The 21378-nt window shown below is 36.6% G+C and overlaps 1 protein-coding gene across 2 annotated transcripts in view; it reads left to right on the top strand.

Moving 5' to 3' along the window:
- REC114 (REC114 meiotic recombination protein) overlaps window positions 1-21378 on the top strand; it is a 116850-nt gene that overhangs the window by 12454 nt on the left and 83018 nt on the right. For both annotated transcript variants that reach the window (NM_001042367.2, NM_001348772.2), the window contains exon 2: window positions 18215-18304. In NM_001042367.2, coding sequence (NP_001035826.1) covers window positions 18215-18304 — 90 coding nt within the window. The remainder of the gene's footprint in view (window positions 1-18214; window positions 18305-21378) is intronic.

The raw sequence follows: 21378 nt of genomic DNA on the forward strand, positions 1-21378 counted from the left end.
TATATTTTATAGAATAATATGCTTCATTATGTATACTGATTTGATTTACTTCTTTGAACTGAATTAATCTTGTTAAAAGACACTGTCTAGAGATAAACACAATTCGGAAGCAAATAAACTTTGTAAAACACGCATGCACACTGAAAACCCAATGGTTTAGAGCTGTGCTACCCAGACCTTAATGTGCATAGAAATCATCTGAGGGTTTTGTTAAAAATGCAAATTCTGACTCAGTCAGAATAGGTCTGGTATGGGGAATGAGATTCTAGTTCTAACAAGCTCCCAGGTGACACAGATGCTGTTGGTTCAAGGACCACACTTTGAGAGGCAGGGGTTTAGAATATCTTGAATGAAATGATAGCCATATAGTAAAATTGATAAAATGAATTTATAGAGTTATGAGGTAAGGCAATCAGATTCATAATGACTGTGCAAATGTTTTATTAATAGGGTTAATATTTAAGCCATCTGTCGTCATTTAAGTGGAATGAGCAAATGTTAGTTCCTTAGATCTGTTGGCTCAGCCTTTCTGAAAAGATATAATAACAGATTGGTCCATTTTATGTATTTTATGTCTGAATATAATTTAGTCTACTAATAAGTAGACTAATTTGAAAGGTGATGTTAATTGCAGGTTGCTTTTAAAGTTTTACCATGTTTTTCAGATTTCAAGGATTTCTCAGACATGCCCTAATTGGTTGAACCTGACAACTTCTTAGACTTTTTTTTTTTCCTTTCAAAGGGAAAAAAATCCTTTTTTTATAGGAGGAACTTAAAATAATTGCCCTACTTAGAAATTAAGAAATAGAATGTGAAGTTTGTACTTGAAATGAACTTTTAAATGTGGATTCAACATAAGATATATTTTGGATCTTCTCAACAGTGTTCTTTTTTCTTTCATATTCCTAGTGCCTACATAATACCAAGTATATGATAGATGCTCAGTAAATGTTTGAATGTATGGTGTGGTAATTTTCCTTATGATAATGTGTTAATTATTAAATGATAGCTATTATTTATCATTTGCTTTGGTGTATTTTTTACAAGAGCCCTATGAAGCAAATATTATTATACCCATTTTATAGATAAGTGAACTGAAACTCAGGTTCAGTGGCTTTCCCAGGAACACAAAGATAAGTTGAAAAGAAAGAATTTAGACACTCCTTTTCTTGTCTGTAAAATCTGTGCTTCTAAGCTCTATGCTGTTTGCCTTAAAACTGTTAATATCTTATATGGAATGTAGCAATTCAATTATGTGGATGAAGAATTTTGAGATTAACACACAGGATAAAAATAACAAAAATAACAGTTTTTTAATTTGTTTTTAAGGAAAATTTAAAATAGTAAAATAGTTCTTTGTATGCTTGATAATTTTTTATTGCAGGCCTAATGTTGTGAATTTTACTTTGTTGGGTACAGGGTATCTTTGTATTTCTGTATTTCTGAGCTTTTTTTTTTTTTTTTTTTTTTCCAGATAAGTTATTTGGAAACAGTTTGATCCTTTCAAGTTTTGCTTTTAAGCTTTGTCAGCTGGGACAAGAGTGGCTGGGACTAGGGCTAATTTTTCCCACTTCTGAGGCAAAGCTCTTGAATATTCTACTCAATGTAAATTGTTTTCTCTACTAAGAACAGGCACTATTCCCTGTCCTGTGTGAGCTCTGGGGATTATTCCCTTAAATTCTTTCAGGTGGTCCTTTCCCCACCCTCTGGCAGTTTCCTTACGCATATATATATGTTGATCAGTACTCAGCTGAAGCAGAGGAGGAGGTTCTGCAAGTGTCTGGAGTTCTTCCCTTCGTACAGGTCTCTCTTCTCTGGTGTTTTGTCTTGCAAACTGTAGCTGCACTGACCTCCTAGGACTCGAAGCTTCATCTCCTCAACTCAATTATCACCAGGCTCTGCCTGGGTTTATCATCCTTGCACTCTGACCTGGAAACTCGTGCCAAGAAGTAACCTGGGGCAGTGGTAAGGGCTCACTTCCTTCATTTTCTGTCATTTCTCAGGAATTAACATCCTTTATTACGTGATACCTATTGACTTGAGAGCTGTTGCTTCCTTTGATTTGTTCAGTTTTTTATTTCATTTAGGAGGTATGAAATAACCTGTTAAGGAGGTACTTGTTAATTCCCGTTGGCCAGAAGAGGAAGTCTATAGTGAGTCTTTTGATTCAGTTCCACTTTGTTTTTCTACTGCAGGTCATCAAACAAAGCATTATTAAATTATCTGCTAAGTACTTGACATTCAACTAGGCATTAGAGATTCTATGGAACTGTGTGCTTCACACAGTCTTAAAATGTTATGTTACTTGAGTACAGGATTACAAGGATAGGTGGGGCTTGATCACTGGAGCCAAGATTCCTCCTGGTGAGCAGACAACTTTCATCAGTCTTTTGGGGTGCTTCTTGAAAATGCAGCTTCATTGTTCCTGTGCTAGGCCTACTGAATCAACTTCTGGGGTGGCTCTCTAATTGATTCTATGAGTTGTAATCAGTCTTCATGGCCCAATTCTGAAGAAAGGGTGGTAGGGAAGAGGGGACAATTCACTAAGTGGTACTGATACTATATGGAACTTTCAATTTACAAAGTATTTTCATAAACCTTTTTCCATTTAATTCTCACATTAAGACTTCCTGGGTCTCATTACCATCTTATAGACAAAAAGCTGAGGCCTAATTAGGGTAAATAGTTTGCCAAAGGGTAACATAGGAAGTGGAAGAACGAATTCTAAAACTCAGGTTTTCCTCAAGCCATTGCTTCTTCTGCCATACACCGACACTTACTGCATTAGTTATCTTCTCATATGCAGATGTAGGAGTATCATCAAGAGTTATTATCCTTTCATGTAGCATGCTTTTTTTGAAGAGTTAACAGGTAACATTTTGTATTAGGATTAAGATAGGCTCTGAGTGACATATAACAGTGGATTAAATAAGATGAAAGTTTATGATTTTCCGCATAAAAGTCCACAGCTGGTGTGGCACTATAGTGATAGGTACTGAGGCTCCTTCTTTGTTCTCTGCTGTGCATGGCCATGGTCTCACAGTCTGAGATAGAATCAGTATCCTAGACAGCTTGTGGAGGAGGGGATAAAGAAATGGACAAAGGTATATGATTGCTGTCTCTTAAGGAAGTTTCCTGTAAGCCACCATGACACTTTCCTAGAGCACAGTGGCCAGAACTTAGACCTGTGGCCATCCTAGCTGCACGGGCAGCTGGTATATATGGTCTGTATTCCACAAGTTCATATGTCTAGCTAAAAAAACTAAGGGTTCTATTACCCCATAAGAAGGAAAAATGGATATTGGAGGGTAACTGGCAGTCTGCCACACAGTTCTCTTCTGATCTAGAGACTGCTAAGAAATGAAGACTTATTCTTTGAGCCCCTGGTTGGAATAACAAAAACAACTACTTAATGAGTAATTATTGTATGTTAATACCTAGAACACTGCTTGGCAGATGCCCCCAAAATATTAATTGAAGGAATGAAGGCCAGACATTCTGCTAAGCATCTGATCTCACATACCATTTAATCTTTCAGATGATCCTATAAGGTAGTATTACAATTTTTATTTTACATTTTACAGATGCGGTAATTAAATATACTTTTTCTTTTTTCTTTTTTTTTTTTTGGAGACAGAGTCTCACTCTGGCACTCAGACTGGAGTACAGTGGTGCAATCTTGGTTTACCACAATCTCCACCTCGCAGGGTCAAGCGATTCTCCTGCCCCAGCCTCCTGAGTAGCTGAGATTACAGTTGCCTGCCACTACCGCCCGGCTAATTTTTGTGTTTTTTTCAGTAGAGACGGTTTCACCATGCTGGCCAGGCTGTTTTTGAGCTCCTGACCTCAGATGATCCACCCGCCTTAGCCTCCCAAAGTGTTGGGATTACAGGCATGAGCCACCGCGCCCGGCCCTAATTAAATATGCTTCTAAATGGCAAAACTGGAATTTGATCCTAGCTGTAATTCCAGATATTGTCTTTTATAAAGTAGTAGTCATTAGTGCTGTTCACCAAATATGCTCAGATTGTATATTCCTGGCCTCTTGAAGTTAAGTTTTTTATATGACTGGTTTTGGCCAATGAAATGTGAGCAGAACCAACTGTCATGGGCAGAAGCTTTAAGAACCAGTGCATGATTCATCTTATTCTTTTTCTTTGCCAGTGTTGCAGATATTGGCTTCTCTCTTAGCCTAGGTCCTACAGTGAAAACATAGGCAGTGTGAGGTAGAGTGTGAAGACAGGTAGAATAAGGGTGGATAGGTAATGTAAGTGAGAAACCTTTGCTTTTGGGGGTTAATTTCTGCAGCATACTGTAAGCTACACCTGACTGATATGGAAATTTTTTTTTCTTTTGGTTATGTTTAATTGAATTATGTCATGTACATTGTAGAGTGCATGGGCTTTTGAGGAAGAACCTTATAACTGATGTTCTAACATTTTTTTTCTATGACAAAATTATTAGTTGTTCTAAAGCATTAGTTTATAAATGTTTCCAACTTGGGACCAGTCTTTGTTCTCTTTCTTCAGTAAACAAAATCTTAATTTTATTGTGTAACAGACATAGTTTTCATAGAGGCTATGGATTGTTTATGAAACATGATTTAAGGTAGAATTTATTTGGACAAATAACTGAAGTTTTTTTCAGCTTAGTGGTTTAAGGAGTCTAAGAAGTTACAGTTTAGAATGAGGCCCAAGAGTATTAAAATTCATTCATTTTTAGGATTTATTCTTTATCCACTATGTGCCAGACACTATGCAAGGCTCTGTTTAGAGATGGTTAAAGCATCTCTACTTAAAGAGCTAGCCAATTAAGCTCAAGTACCTGCTTATTTCAATATAGGTGTTTTTGACTTCACAAATGACAGCACTGTATCTGAGAAATAAAGTAAGGTGTTTCCTTAACTCAAATTTGAAATATAATTTGATTACTGGAACTGTTATGAGCTTAAGTGTGCTTTGTGAATGAATAGAAGAGCATGCCTATGAAGATACCAAAGGTGAGTGAGAGTTGCAGAGACCTAGGATAGGTTTGATAATGGGAAGTACCACTTTCTGGTATAGTTAGTGATTTTATCAGATTTAGTAGTCTGGGAAATGTTTAAAGGATACTTTAAACATGTGGGAGAAATGTTGTGGGAGTATTTGTTATAGAAATAACCAGAGTGGCCTTGACTGGTAATTTCAAAGACATAAGGAACTTATTCTTCTGTTACATGGAAAGTGTTTTGAGTAAATGTAGTCTATTTATGGCTACTGATAATTCTTCTGTTACATGGAAAGTGTTTTGAGTAAATGTAGTCTATTTATGGCTACTGATAGAGGTGATGAAGTTAATTCTAGTAATTGGGTTTAAAAAGACTGGATAATTTCATGATCAATAATCTTAGGGATATGTGGTAAAAGGGGAATTACATCTCATGCTTTGATACATGAGATAATTTTTGTACATTGTAAAAGAAAAAGTTCTCTATATATATGATTACTTTTTTGGTGGTGGGGAAGGTCTGCGTGTTATTGCTATTGTTTTTTTTTTATTGTTACAGTTAAAACTTTGTATTTCTGTGAAACACCAAAAAATGCTGAATTTTATTGTCTGGTAATTGGTATTTGGCAGGACCACTTTTATTAGCATAATACACTCTACAAGTTTGTTGAAATAATTTATGAGACTCTTGCTACCAAGAGTCAGTGGGAAGGCAGTTGATAGCCTACTTAGCAATTTTGCACACTTTTCATATTTTATAGTGCATAAAATAGCAACTTGAGCCAATATATAAAGCTGTGACACTTTTTGAGGGGTCTTAAAAGCAGAAAACAAAACCCCTGATCTAGTACATAATTTAATTCATCACAATCTGAATAATACTATTTTCACCTTTCATGTAGATATAATTTAGGGTAAGCACATTTGGAATACTTTTCTGTATTTTCATACTCTTTTGACTTTTTTCTACCTGATGTTAGATTTTTCTTATAGTACTGACTTGCACAAACACATGCATGTAAATTTTGAGAAGATTCTCTGTTTAACCAATATATAGGTTGTGCTATTGTTATTTAACTGATGTATAAGCTTGTGATAGGGAGGTTCCAAATAAAGCTGTGTGTGCTGCTGTGTTGATGGCAACATACTGCCATAGGCGGAGGTCATATTGATGTCAATGTTAAGCTACGTTTAGATTGGCAACTGGAACGAAGAGAAGATGTAAACTTTATGTATGTTCTCTGTGACCCCTTAACATTAATGTCTTCTGTTATGATTTGGTCATTAGAGATAACATTTTTCTTTTTCTTTTTCTTTTCTTTTTTTTTTTTTTTTTTTTTTTTTTAAAGACAGAGTCTTACTCTGTCACCCAGGCTGGAGTGCGGTGGTGCGATCTCGGCTCACTGCAACCTCTGCCGCCCGAGTTCAAGCGATTTTCCTGCCTCGGCCTCCTTAGTAGCTGGGATTACAGGCACCTACCACCATGCCCGGCTAATTTTTGTATTTTTTGTAGAGATGGGGTTTCACCATCTTGGCCAGGCTGGTCTGGAACTCCTGACCTTGTGATCCACCCACCTCAGCCTCCCAAAATTCTGGGATTACAGGTGTGAGCCATCGTGCCCAGCCAACATTTTTCTTTAAGCTTTCCATATTGTGTTAATGTGAACATGCCAGTAGTATAAAGTTATCAGTCATTAAAGGTATTTCCCAAGGGCCAGAAATAAGCAATTTTTTTTTCTCAGATACCTGGATTATGTTAGGTGTTATGATATTGGAATGTCTCGGTAGAATTAGGACATTATATTCAAATCCTAAATACAGTATCGTTGTCCTTTGTGGTAAGCTGAATGCTTTTCTTAACCTTGATTCTACCTAGTCGACAAAGAACATGGAAGCCTCTAACAACTTGTATTCTAAAGCATTTCAAACATAATCAAAGGTAGACAGAATAATATAGTGATACACGTATGCATCATCTAGCTTTAAGAATTACCAACTCGGGCCAGGTGCGGTGGCTCACGCCTGTAATCCCAGCACTTTGGGAGGCCGAGGCAGGCGGATCATGAGGTCAGGAGATTGAGACCATCCTGGCTAACACGGTGAAACCGCATCTCCACTAAAAATACAAAAAATTAGCCGGGCATGGTAGCGGGCACCTGTAGTCACAGCTACTCCAGAGGCTGAGGCAGGAGAATGGCGTGGACCTGGGAGGCGGAGCTTGCCCTGAGCCGAGATCGTGCCATTGCACTCCAGCCTGGGCAACAGAGTGAGACTCCGTCTCAAAAAAAAAAAAAAAAAAAAAAATTACCACTTACAGCTAGTCTAATTTCATCTACACCCTATCCACTTCCTTCTCATCATGTTATTTTGAAGCAAATCCCAGACATGATATCATTTCATCAGTAATTATTTCGGTTCATATCTCTAAAAGAAAAAGGACTTTAAAAAAGCATAACCATAATACCCCAAAATTAACAATTTCATAATATTATCAGTGTTCAAATTTCAAGTAGTCTTACAAGTGTCATAATTCTTTTAAACATGGCCAAAAATTGTGATTGATTGGTGTATCTTTTAATTTTTAGGTTTCTCTGCAGTATTTCCTTGACCTCACCTCTCTCTCTTCCTTGCGGTTTAAGAAATCAGGTTGTTCTACAGAGTTTCTCAGTCTGGATTTTGCTGACCGCCATCTCTGTGGTGCAGTTTAATGTGATCCTTTGTGCTCTGTATTTCTTGTGAACTGGTCATTGAATCTAGAGGCTTTGTCAAATTCAGGTTGGATTTTCTTGTATTTTCTTTATATATCATCTAGAATATTTCTGTAAAGAAAAACATCCCCTTATCTATTAGAGGTTACCCGGTGGTTGGTTTTTATAGCAGAGCTAGGATAAATTCTTGATGTTTTCTCTTCATTTACCACTTAAAAAATGAGTTAAGCTGGGCGCTGTGCTTCACACCTGTAATTCTAGCACTTTGGGAGGCCCAGGTGGGTGAATCACTTGAGGTCAAGAATTTGAGACCAGCTTGGCCAACATAGTGAAACCCCATCTCTACTAAAAATACAAAACTTAGCTGGGTATGGTGGCGCATGCCTGTAGTCCCAGCTACTTGGGATGCTGAGGCAGGAGAATCACTTGAACCCACGAGACAGAGGTTTCAGTGAGCCAAGATCGTGCCACTGCACTCCAGCCTGGGTGACAGGAAAAGGAAAAAAAAAAAAGAGTTGGTTCCCTAGACTCCTTCGGTGTTGGAGGATGTTTTTGTTTTTAACTAGAAGCTTTTAAGATCTTCTTCTATCCATGGAATTCAGGAATTTAATCAGGATATGTCTAGTTATTGATTTTTTAAAACCCCCATCCCCATTAATGCCTGGAACTTAAACCGTTTGTATCTTCAGTCTCACTTCTTTCTGCAGTTGTAGAATATTTCATTCTATTATTTTTTCAATCAGTTCCTTTCCTCAGTCTTTTTTTCTCCCTCTACTTTAGACCCTCTCACTAACATTTTTTCTCCTGGATCTGAATCTTTGCTCCGTGTATCTTGTTACACATGATTTCTTTCTCCTAGTTTTGCTCTATTTTTCTCCTGCTTGCTCTTTTAAACTATTAATTTGGCCTCAATAGTGTCCATCCAATTCTTCAATTAGCTATTGAAATTTGTATTCATAAAATAGTTTTAGCTTCAAGATTCTCAAGTGTGAATAATAATTATATTTATCATTATTTAATAAGAAATACAGAAATATATATTTATTATTATTACAGTTATTATTTAGTTCAAGCTGTTGTCAGTCTCCTCTAGCAGCTTGTTCCCCCGGGAGCCTCGTGTTTTGGGTTTTCTGTTGTTCTTCATTGCTTTAGCCCATTGGGTATGTAGCTATTTTCCTTTGTCTAACTTATGGGTCTTTTCACTCCTGGGTGTCATCTCCAAGAGTGGACACTTTAAGGTGCTGAGTGTTGGGAGATGCAGAAGTCACAGTGCTGTGGGCCTCCTGTAGAGAAGTAGGAAGGATTGAGTTAAGTTGGCCAACTCCTTTGTGACTCCTTGGAGGTTGAGAGACCGCTAGGAACTTCAGAGCACATAGTCTGGTCTGCCCATCTTCATGAGGTCCACCAATTTCTAGGGACTAGGCTCTCTCACAAGAACTGCAGCATTGTCTTTGCCTCAGGGCTCCTTGCTTAGTACCTCCTTTCTCCTGTAGGGGGAAAACGTCCTACTAGCTCTTTTTTTGTGGACCCTGAGACCTCAATCCACCCTTCTGGCTGTCTTGGATGATGTGTTTTTTGTTTGTTTGTTTGTTTGTTTTGAGATGGAGTCTCACTGTGTTGCCCAGTCTGGAGTGCAATATTGCAATCTCAGCTCACTGCAACCTCTGCCTCCCAGGTTCAAGAGATTCACCTGCCTCAGCCTCCTGAGTAGCTGGGATTACAGGTACCCACCACCACGCCCAGCTAATTTTTGTATTTTTAGTAGAGACAGGGTTTTGCCATCTTGGCCAGACTGGTTTCAAACTCCTGACCTCATGTGATCTGCCTGCTTCGGCCTCCCAAAGTGCTGGGCTTACAGGTGTGAGTCACTGTCCCCTGCCAGATGCTGGTCTTAATAATTGCTTAAGGAAAGGTAAATGGCATTTGGATTGGATTTGGAAAGAGAAGACTTCAGGGATGCAATGAAGCTACCATTTTTTCTTGAACCCCTTGGAAGTTCTTAAAATGGATATTTTCTAACTATATGAGCACATTATGTAGACCTTTTGGATGAGGGATTGCAACAGACATCTGAAAAATCATAAGCCTGGAATTCTCCTCCCCCAGCTACCTGGTTAACTTTCATACCTTTGGTCTTTGCTCAAGCCTCACCTTCTCAGATGCCTACCTTAACCTCTCTATTTATATTGTAACATCTGTGTCCTGTCTTTGCACTTTGATTCCACTTGTCCTGCTCTATTTCTTCCCTAGCTCTTAGCATTATCTCATATACTAGATAATTTTTTTATTTGCTATGTTCAGTGATGTGCCTAGAACATCTGACACCTAGAATGAATATTTTTTTAACATCTTCTTCCCCTGAATGATAAAATTATTTTCTGAAATAATCAAGTTAAATGAAAAATATTATGCAGCGGACATTCTCTCTTACTGAGTTTTGTTATAATAATTATGCCAAATAAATAGGAAAAATACAGTATAAGGCAGGAAAAAAAATCCACAACTATTTAGCCCATTGTTTTTATTTTATTTTATATTGTGTTATTTTATTTTATTTTGAGACGGAGTCTCGCTCTGTCACCCAGGCTGGAGTGCAGTGGCGCGATCTCAGCTCATTGCAACCTCTGCCTTCCGGGTTCAAGCGATTCTTCTGCCTCAGCTTCCTGAGTAGCTGGGACTACAGGTGCACACCACCACGCCTGGCTAATTTTTTCATTTTTTTAGTAGAGACGGGGTTTCACCAGTTGGTCAGGCTGGTCTCAATCTCCTGACCTCATGATCTGCCCACCTCGGCCTCCCAAAGTGCTGGGATTACAGGCATGAGCCACCGCACCCGGCCACCAATTGTTTTTATATCTAGTTAACTGTTTGAACTTGGATTCTGCAGTTACAGACTGATATTTTATGAAATTGTTCATTAACTAATAAGTGAAGTTTTTTTAAGTAAAATTAAGCATTTCCGACTGGGTTCGGTGGTGCATGCCTGTAATCCCAACACTTTGGGAGTCTGAGGCAGGTGGATCACGAGGTCAGGAGTTTGAGACCAGCCTGGCCAACATGGTGAAACCCCATCTCTACCAAAAATACAAAAAATTAGCCAAGTGTGGTGGTATGCACCTGTAATCCTAGCTACTCAGGAGGCTGAGGCAGGAGAATCACTTGAACCTGGGAGGCAGAGGTTGCAGTGAGCCAAGATGGTGCCATTGCACTCTAGCCTGGGTGACAGAGCAAGACTCCCGCTGGGGGAAGGAAAACAACAACAACAAAAACCTAAGCATTTCCAAAAGGTACAATTTACGCAACTATTAATAAAATTGTTGATATGTTTTATCCCCTCTTAACGTTCTTTAGTTTCAAAACACTTAATTTGAAGAGAATAAATTTCAATGTTAAAGATATTGTTCAAATTTAGTAAAATATTTTGTGAACTAAAATTTGCACTTATTAAATAAGTTACATCTTGCTATTTACACTTGCAACAGTGTTTTAAATTTTAGACAAATACCAAAAGGTCCCATAAAAATGACAGAATTGGAGTGCCTCAAGTTGTTTCTTGGTCTTTACAATCACTGTGCTATCTTTGTTTTATTTTGAATCTATCATTTAAATGCACAAGAATGTAGTACCACAGGGAGGGAAAAGCCAACTGCATCCTAAGAAAGGGTTGGATTAAGAACTTCATGTTAAGCAGTCTTCAGGTTTAAGAAAGCCTGGTGCACTGCTTTTGAAACAAGTGTATGTGCCTAAGTTTGCATGGATGGGGGTTAGCTGTAACTGGGAGTTTCCCCAATGAACTTATATGTAGACAACAATTTAAGAATAAATAACAAATCTGATATTTTGAAGCTTACATATATATTATTTAAACTCAGCAGTAACTGCAGTAATTATTTGGAACTTAGACCAACAAAATGTTTTTTTCAGGAAGGAGTATTTTTATCACTGACATTGATTAGAATTACTGGCACATGGTGGTAATAAACTGATTTTAGTCAGCTTTTTAATTGTTTATAAATTCTCTACAGACCAAGCATTGCTTTATTGCCAGCACCTGCAGTGTACTGCTCCCAACATCCCACCTTTGGTATGTCACTAATTATATTTGTTGTGTATTGTCTGTACTCTTGCTCTGCATCACCATTTCACACTTGCTCCATTAGGATTAGGATCTGTGTTTTGTTCAGTGATACTGCAATCATATATTTGTTGAATGAAGAATTAATGAAGTTCAAGTTCAGAGACTTTCTATGTCTTTTTTCTTCTCCATATTATAAGAGGGATCAGTACATAGTGGATACTTTGCTATTGTTAACTCACTGACTTAAATGCTTGGCATATAGTCTCTTTGGACTCTTGCATTTCTTGAAAAATTTGGAATTTTGATTGGGATTGGATAGATCAACTTGGAGAATTAGTGTCTGTACTAATTTCTTAGTGCTGCTGTAACAAGCTATAAACTTAGTGGCTTAAAACAACGCAAACATTAGCTTATAGTTCTAGAGGTCAGAAATTTGAAATGGGTTTATTGAGCTAAAATCAAAGTGTCAGGAGGACTGCATTCCTTCTGGAGGCTCAAGAATCTTTTTTTTTTTTTCCTGGCCTTCTCTAACACGTAGAGGTTGCCTGCATTCCTTAGTTTGTTACCCACCTTCCATCCTCAATGCCAGCAATCACATTCCTTCTGACTCTTTCTGCCTCCCTCTTTCTCTTGTAAGGATGCTTCTGATTACAATAGGTTCACCTGGATAATTCAGGGCTATCCCTCCAGCTCAAGATATTTTAACTTAATCACATATGCAAAATCCCTTTGCTATGTAAGATAACATATTACAGGTTCCGGGTATTAGGACATAGACATCTTTAGGGGGACCGTTGTTCTGCCTATTACAGCATTTTAATAATATTAAATCTTCCTATCTGTGAACAAAATATTTCTCTCCATATATTTAAGTGTTCTTAAATTTCTCTCAATTTTCAATGTGCTGGTCTTCTTTTGTCATATTTATCCCTTAGTATTTTATATTTTTGATGTTGTAAATTTTGATGCTTTTAAAATTTCAGGTTCTAGTTCTTCATTAGTGTATGTAAATGCAATTGGTTTTTATTTATTGATCTTCTATTCTGTAACCTTTCTAAAATTCACTTATTCTAGTAAAATCAACTGGATTTTCTACATAGATGATCATGTTGTCTGTGAATAAAGACAGTTTTACTTCTTTCCAATCTGGATGCTTTTTCATTCTTTTTCCTGTCTGATTACAGTGGTAAGAACTTGCGGTAACAATGTTGAATAGAAGTGGTGAAAGTGGACATCTTGTCTTGTTTCTTATCTTAGGGAGAAAGCTTTCAGTATGAAGTTAGCTGTAGTTTTTTTTTTTTTTTTAATAGATGCCCTTTATCAGCTTGAGGAAGTTACTTCTATTCCTGGTTTGCTGAGTTTTAAAATCAGGAATAGATGTTGGATTTTGTCAAATGTTTTTTCTGCATTCTCTCATATTGAGGTGATCATATGGTTTTTCTTTTTTAATATGTTAACATGGTGAATAACTTTGAGTTCACAATATTTCTGATTTCCCTTTTAATTTCTTATTTACCCATGAGTAAATAAGAATATTTGGGGCTTTTTTTCAGAGACCTGTTTTTGATTTCTAATTTAATTCATCTGTGCTCAGGTAACATTCTCTTAAATCAACCAGAACTTGTTCTGTGGCTTAGAATATAGTCTTTGTGAATGCTCTGTGTATACTTGAGAAGAATGTGTTTTGTGTTGGTGTTAGATGGAGTGTTCAATAAATGTCGATCAATCATGTTGGTTGACAGTTGCTCAAGTCTGCTATATACTTGGTGATTTGCTATGTGCTTTTTCTATCAGTTATTGAGAGAGGGGTATTAAAATCTGACTGTAATTGTGAACTTGTCTGTTTCCCCTTACAGTTCTATCACTTACTGCTTCGTGTATTTTTAAGCTCTGTATTGGAGGAATACATGTTTGGGATGATTATCTTTCTTGATTAATTGACCCTTTTATTATTTGAAATGACCTTCTTTGTAACCTTTTGATATTCTTGTCTAATATTAATAAAACCACTCCAGTTTTTATTTTTTATTTTTATCTTTTTAGTGAAAGAGTCTCACTCTGTTACCCAGGCCTCTGGGTGCAGTGTGCAGAGTGCAGTGGTGCAATCATAGCTTACAGCAGCCTCGAACTCCTGAGCTCAAGTGATCCTTCTGCTTCAGCCTCCCAAGCAGCTGGGACTACAGGCGTGTACCACCGTGCCTGGCTAATTTTTACATTTTCTGTAGAGATCAAGTCTTGCCATGTTGCCCAGGCTGATCTCAAATTCCTGGCCTTAGGCAAGCCTTAGACTCTTTTTTTTTTTTTTTTTTTTTTAAGACTCCGTCTCCCTCCTTTGCCCAGGCTGGAGTGCAGTGGCGCGATCTTGGCTCACTGCAAGCTCCACCTCCTGGGTTCACGCCATTCTCCTGCCTCAGCCTCCCGAGTAGCTGGGACTACAGGTGCCCGCCACCATGCCCGGCTAATTTTTTGTATTTTTAGTAGAGATGGGGTTTCACTGTGTTAGCCAGGGCAAGCCTGTGCTGAGATTGTAGGAGTGAGCCACTGTGCCTGGCCTTACTCTAGCTTTTGACTAGCATTAGCTTGGTATATATTTTTTCTATCCTTTTGTTTTTAACCTGTTTGTTTTTATATTTAAAGTGCATTTCTTGTAGGCAGCATATAGCTTGTTTTGTCTTTTTTATCCAATCTGACAACCTCTGCCTTTAATTGAGGTGTTTACATTTAAATGTACTATTATATTTAATATGATTATTGATAGGGTTGGGTTTCAGTCTGTTATCTTGCTATTTGTTTTATAATTTTCCCATCTGTTCTTTGTTCCCTTTTAATTTTGATCTTGCCTTTCGTTTGGATAAATTGAATATTGTTTATCAATATAATCCCATTTATCAGTTATCTTTTAAAGATATTTAGGTAAAATTTTTATGCATTTGCCCATGTAATTATTATTTCCTGCACTCTTCATTCTTTTGTGGAGATCTTAGTTTTTATCTGATAACATTTTCTTTCTTCCTGAAGGACTTCCTTTCACATTTCTTTCAGTGCAGATCTGCTGGTGATGAATTCTTTCTGAAGACATCTTTATTTCCTTTGAAAATTTTGCATCTTAATATGGTGCCTTCATTTAAAAGTTCTTATTTACTTAACCATCCAACAAAATATTGGGTGTCTATTGTGTGCCAGGTACTATCCTAGGCATTTGAATATAACAGTGTCCAAAACGGGGAAAAAAAAATCTCTATCTTCATGGAGCTTAATTTCTGCTCAGGGAAGACTAGTAACAAGTAAATATAACAAAGTGGTAAGAGCTATGGATAAAAATAAAGCTGGAGAAGGGAATAGGAGTAGTGTGGTTTAGATAACATGGGGGAGTTTTCAGATGGATGGTTAGGAAAAGTTTTACCTGAAAACATGATATTTAAGCTAAGGTTTGAAGATGGAGTGAGTCGTGGTATCTAGAAGAAGAGAATTTCAGATAGAACAGCAATTGTAGAAGCCCTGAGGTTTATAATAATCAGTGTGCCTAGTGGGTTCAGGGAGCAGGAAGGAGGCTAGTGTGGCTGATGAGAGTGCACAGTAGGTGGGTGCTACAGGACAAGAGCAGAGAGGCAGTGGAGGGCCTAGACCGTGGAGTGCGTTGCAGGAGCTTCTGAATGAGATAGGGAGCTATTGCAGGGCTGTAAGCTGGAAATGACATGATCTGACTTATATTTTTAAAGGATCACTCTGGCTACTGTATTGAGAATAAACTCTGTGTTGGAGAAGGGAAGCAAGAACAGAAATTGAAAAGCCAGTTAGGAGATTATTATAATAATCCAACTAGAGAGAATGATAATTTAGACAAGACCTATAAGAAGTGGTTGAATTATGGATATTTTGAAGATAGACATGAAGGATTTGCTGATGGATTGGATATGGGTGTGAGAAAAGGAGTCAAGAATGATTCCATGGTTTAGCCAAAGAAATGGAAGGAAAGAATTAATTTCTTAAGTGTTGCATATAGAAACCTGAAAAAGAAGAAAATTATTTTCTGAGGTGAAAATGTTGTGATGTCAAATGTCTACAACAGCCTAGCACAGGGTAGGTACTTTGTAAATAGTGAATGAGAAGGTTAGGAGTTCAAGTTAGGGGCTGTTAATTTTGAGATAACTATTAAACCTTTACATGGAGATGTTGATTGGGTGATTAAATGTAGCAATTTGGAGGGCAAGAGAGTAGTCTAAACTGGGGCTCTCCTGGAAGTTGTTGGCTATGATTTGAAAAAAAAATAATTTGGGAAAAATAGAAATCTTTATAGTGAGTGTTTCTATCCAACAAGAGACATATGTAAGAATGTTCATAACAGTATTATTTGTAGTGAACCTAAACTGGAAAAAATACCCATCAGCAAACAAACAAACAAACAAAAAAAGGGTGGTATCATCATAGAAGGTATTCAAGAATCATGAAAATGAATACACATGCAACAACATTGATGGAGCCAAATGTCAAATAATTCTTTATGATTCCACTCATATAATTAAAACTAAAGTATAGTGTTAGAAGTCAGGATGGGAGATTATTTTAAGGGAAAAAGAAGCAGATAGTGATTTTAAGACAGCAAACACTAGAGGACCTTCTGGAAATCTGGTAATGTTCTATTTCTTCATCTGGGTGATGTATTTGCTTTGTCATTGTTCATTGAGCTGTACACTTATATTTCGGATGCTTTTTGGTATATATGTTACATTTCTTAAAACAAAACATTAAACTATCATGTTAACACATTGCCTTCCAAATAATTCATTGACCAGACTGTAGTTGTGAAAGCTGTACTTGACTCCTAGCTATGCTTCTGGTTCTAACTAGTCATTAAAACACACAGGATAATTCATTTAAACTGTGACAAGAAGAGTGTTGTGCCACTGACCAAGTTCCAAATACTGGGAAAGAGGGAGAATTACAACCACTGAAGGAATTAGTGCAGGTCTTATTGTATCCCCTTTGATATCTAAAATGTTATTCACTTTTTAAGTTTGGAATTTAAAATGAATTAGAGAAAACACAGTAGAAATCTTGGATTTAAATATAGCATTAAAACTCCAAACCCCACGTATGAAACTATAAGAGCATTGTTAGTAGAATGCAGTAACCTCATAAAAACATATCTAAGTTGAATTAGGTATGTGTTAATTATTTTGAACTTTGGGCATTAAGATGAGTCTATAACATCTTATTGTTTATGTAAGGATGTTTACCTTACGGTGTTTATTAAGGATATGAAAGCCACCTATATAGTATAGTCACTTAAGACCCAGATCCCACTCTAATGTATCTATCAGTCATGTCCTTCCCTGACATTTTGATTTAATTTCTTCGGTTCCTCACTATATCTCGATAGGTTGGAACTATAGATCCAATCTAACAAGATAAAATATAATGGGGCTAATCCAAGGTTTTATGTTTAGGTTCAAGATGAATAAAGGGAAGTATGATTTACCAACATAGGTAATGAAGTGTCAGGAGGTTATATTGATTTAAGATCAAACTCTTCAGTGTACTACCCTCTCAAAAAGTTAATGTGATTATAGGCAATAGTATTGCAAGTAATGGGAAATAATTAGACTACACCAAGCAGATTATGGTAAGTTTATGGCACCATATTTTAAGAGTGACACTGACAAACTAGAGCTCATCCAAAGGAAAGCACCAGATGTTAAGGGGTTATGAAAAATGGAGGGCTGGGTGCGATGGCTCACGCCTGTAATCCCAGCACTTTGGGAGGCTGAGGTGGGCAGATACTTGAGGTCAGGAATTCGAGACCAGCCTGACGAACATGGTGAAACCCCATCTCCACTAAAAATACAAAAATTAACCGGGCATGGTGGCGCATGCCTGTAATCCCAGCTACTCGCGAGGCTGAGGCAGGAGAATCGCTTGAACACAGGAGGCAGAGGTTGCTGTGAGCCGAGATCACACCATTGCACTCCAGCCTGGGCAACAAGAGTGAAACTCTGTCTCAAAAAAAAAACAAAAAAGAAAAGAAAAATGGATTACATGGCTGAAGAAATTGGGACTGTGAAGTCTTACAGCAACTCTGTAAGGTGCTATCTCCATTTTACAGAAAGAATACTGAGGCTCAGAGAGAATAAATTATTTATTAAAATGTAACTAAAAAGTGGTTGGCTCAGGACCCACAACTCATGATTCTTAATCTGATATTCTTTCTGTTTCAAAATATTGGCTTTTAATTTTATTTTTTAAAAGTCTGGCTGTTAGCCTATATATATGGAGAAGCTTAAAGTTGTAAGGGAAGGGTTACAGATTAAATGAATGGAAAAGCAAAGAGAATGCTCGGAGTAAAAAGATCAATATGAGAAAACACTTGGTCATCAGTATTGTAAGTTTATCAGTTATAGAAATGTATTATCTTTTACATATTTTTCTCCTTCTCCCTTTCAAGGTTTTTGATTCCAATGAAGAATCTGGATATCTTGTTCTCACCATAGTTATATCAGGTCATTTCTTCATTTTCCAAGGACAGACACTACTGGTAGGTTTTATGCATAACAGTTTAATATGGAAATACATCTTTGTCTTCTTAGCTTTACATGAATTTTTGTATCCTCAAGCTTCTTCAGTCTCACTGTAATTCATCAAGGTCAACACATTAAGCATTTATCGAATGTGCCATAATAGTGGGAAATACAGAAACGTACTGAATATTGCCTGCCCTAAAGGGGTTTAGGATTTTGTTGGGAGTCAGAGTGGATCAAAAGATTGAAATTAACCAGTATGATAAAGGATTCTGTAGTAAGGGAGATTGAGTTAAGATAGGCTTGTTAACAAAGACAAGTGTGGAGGGTTTTCCAGATAGGGAAAACAGCATATGCAGAGGGATAGATTTGCAGAAATAAAGAAAACAAAAAGGTGTTACTGTTAATTGATAGCGTCCTCTATAAAACTCTAATTTTATGGTGATACATGTGTTCTTTATTCTGAATATATGTACACTTTAGGAAATTTTGGAATGAAGAAATATGTAAAGAAAATAAGAATCAACTTGGTTGAAAGTTTAGGTTTTATTTGGTACATAGAAACCAAATGAAAGAAAAAAAACAATTGGTAACTTCCAATCAAAGGAATTGTACAAGAAAGGAACATATAAGGGAAAGTTATTATATCATTTAGCTGTGAATGGGGTCTACATTGACATAAATTCATACAACAAATATTTACTATCTACATGGGCATAATTTAACAAATATTTATTGAGTAATTGTATATGCTAGGCATTTTAGGGGATGCTAGGGATATAGCAGTGAACAGTGAAGACAGAAATCTCTTTCATTATGGGATATCATCATTCTAGTGGGGGAAAAACAGCAATAAGCAAATAGGTCAAGTACATTTAAAAGACATTAATTCTTTTTGGATCACTTACATGTTCTATCATAATATGGTAGGATCTCACATGTGTATGTTGTGATGATTCATATTTCCGCTTAAATATAGCCTTCTCATTGAACGTGAGATGACCTGCAAAGTCATCTTTGTATTCCTCGTGACTTTTAAAACTGCAGCATGCGTTGTACTATTTTGCTTTATCTGCTACTGTCAGGGTCTGCATCAGTTGCAAGAGATAAAGGTTTCTTCAGCTGCTAATGAGTGTTGCAAATGGTAGACTTGAAGAATACCTAGTGCACAGTTAGTTCTCCCTGCCAATATCATGGGTCTTTGCTGAATGGTGACATTAATGCAGTTTGGCTTCCTCGGGCATATTAGACCACCCCATACTGTGTCTCTGCTCCATCTTTTTGCCCCAGTGGTGACTATTATGAACAAATGGATAGAAATTTCTTTGTATCACACATAGAATGATTTTTGCACTGTAGTCACAAAACCAAGTTATCAAATTCCAAGATACCCACTACAGAGAAATGTAAGGATAACTCTGCAATTTGGTGCATGTTGCATATACAGTCATGTGTCTCATCACAACATATTAGTCAAGAGAGGACCACAGATATGATAGTGATCCCATTAGATTATAAGGGGGCTGAAAAATTCCTATCACCTGTGATGTCTTGATGATACTGGCCCTTGTAGGCATAGGCTAATGTGCATGTTTGTGTCTTAGTTTTTAACAAAAGGTTTTTAAAATACAATGATTTTAAAAATGTAAAACTAGAAAAAATATTGTATATGTTTTAAGTTATTGTAAAACAGTCCAAATGTTTTTTAAAATTTTTTTGAAGTTTATAATGTAAAAATGTTACAGTAAGCTAAGGTTAATTTGTGATTGAAGAAAGATACTTTTTAAAATAAATTTATTTATAAAAAATAGTCATTAAGGAAATGCAAATTAAAACCACCATGAGATAACAATACACACTTAATTAGGATAGTTAACTGAGTGTACAGTGTTTATAAAGTCTACAGTAGTGTACAGTAATGTCCTAGGCCATCACATTCATTCACCACTCACTCACCCAGAGCAATTTTCACCTTGCAAGCTACATTCATGGTAAGTGCCCTATACAGGTGTAATGTTTACTGTACCTTCTCTATGCTTAGATATACACATATTTAGCATTGTGTTAGTGTTACGGTTGCCTACAGGGTTCAGTACGGTAACATGCTTTACAGGTTTGTAGCCTAGGAGCAATAGGCTATCCCACGTGACCCACATATGTAGTAGGCTGTACCATCGAGGTTTGCATAAGTGTACTCTATGATAGTCACACAATGACAAGATCACCTAATGACACATTTCTTAGAACATATCCTCATTGTTAAGTGACATATGACTATACATATATAACTTAAATATTGTAATTTGTTTAATCTTTTTTAAAATTATTTTTAAAAATCACTTTTATTGAGGTATAATTTACATAAAATTCACTGACTTTAAGTGTTCAATTTGAAGTGTTTTAATAAATCTATAGTCATGTAACCATCGCCACAATCATGATACAGAACATTTCAATTAACCCAATTTCCTTGTGGCTCTTTGCAGTGAGCTTCTCTGCCCACCCTCAGCACCTAGAAACCATTGATCTGCTGTCACTCTAGTTTTGCCTTTTTTAAAATAATTTTTGTTTATATATATCTTTAATTGACAGATAAAATTGTATATATTTACTGTGTACGTTATTTTGAAGTATATATACATTGTAAAATGACTAAATCTAGCTAATTAACATATGCATTACCTCACTGTAGTTTTGCCTTTTCTAGAATTCATGTAATGGAATCATATGATATGTAGTCTTTTCAGTTGGGCTTCTTCCATTCAGTATAATTTGAGATTCATCTCTGTTGTTCCATGTTATCAGTAGTTTATTCCTTTTCATTAATGAAGAATATTCCATTGCATAGGTAAACCTATTTTGCTTATCCATTCAACTTTTGATAGACATTGGGGTGGTTTTCATTTTTTCAGCTGTTATGAATAACACTACTGAATATTTGTATACGAGCCTTTGGGCATGTTTTCATTTTTCATCGTTAAATGTCCAAGAGAAGAACCGCTGAGTCATATGGTGTGTCTGTGTTTAACTTTATAGGAAACTGCAAAACTGTTTTCCAAAGTTGCATTCTCATAAGCAACGTATGAGGGTT

This window comes from Homo sapiens, chromosome 15 (genome assembly GCF_000001405.40).
Source record: "Homo sapiens chromosome 15, GRCh38.p14 Primary Assembly".
NCBI classification, from domain to species: Eukaryota; Metazoa; Chordata; class Mammalia; order Primates; family Hominidae; genus Homo; species Homo sapiens.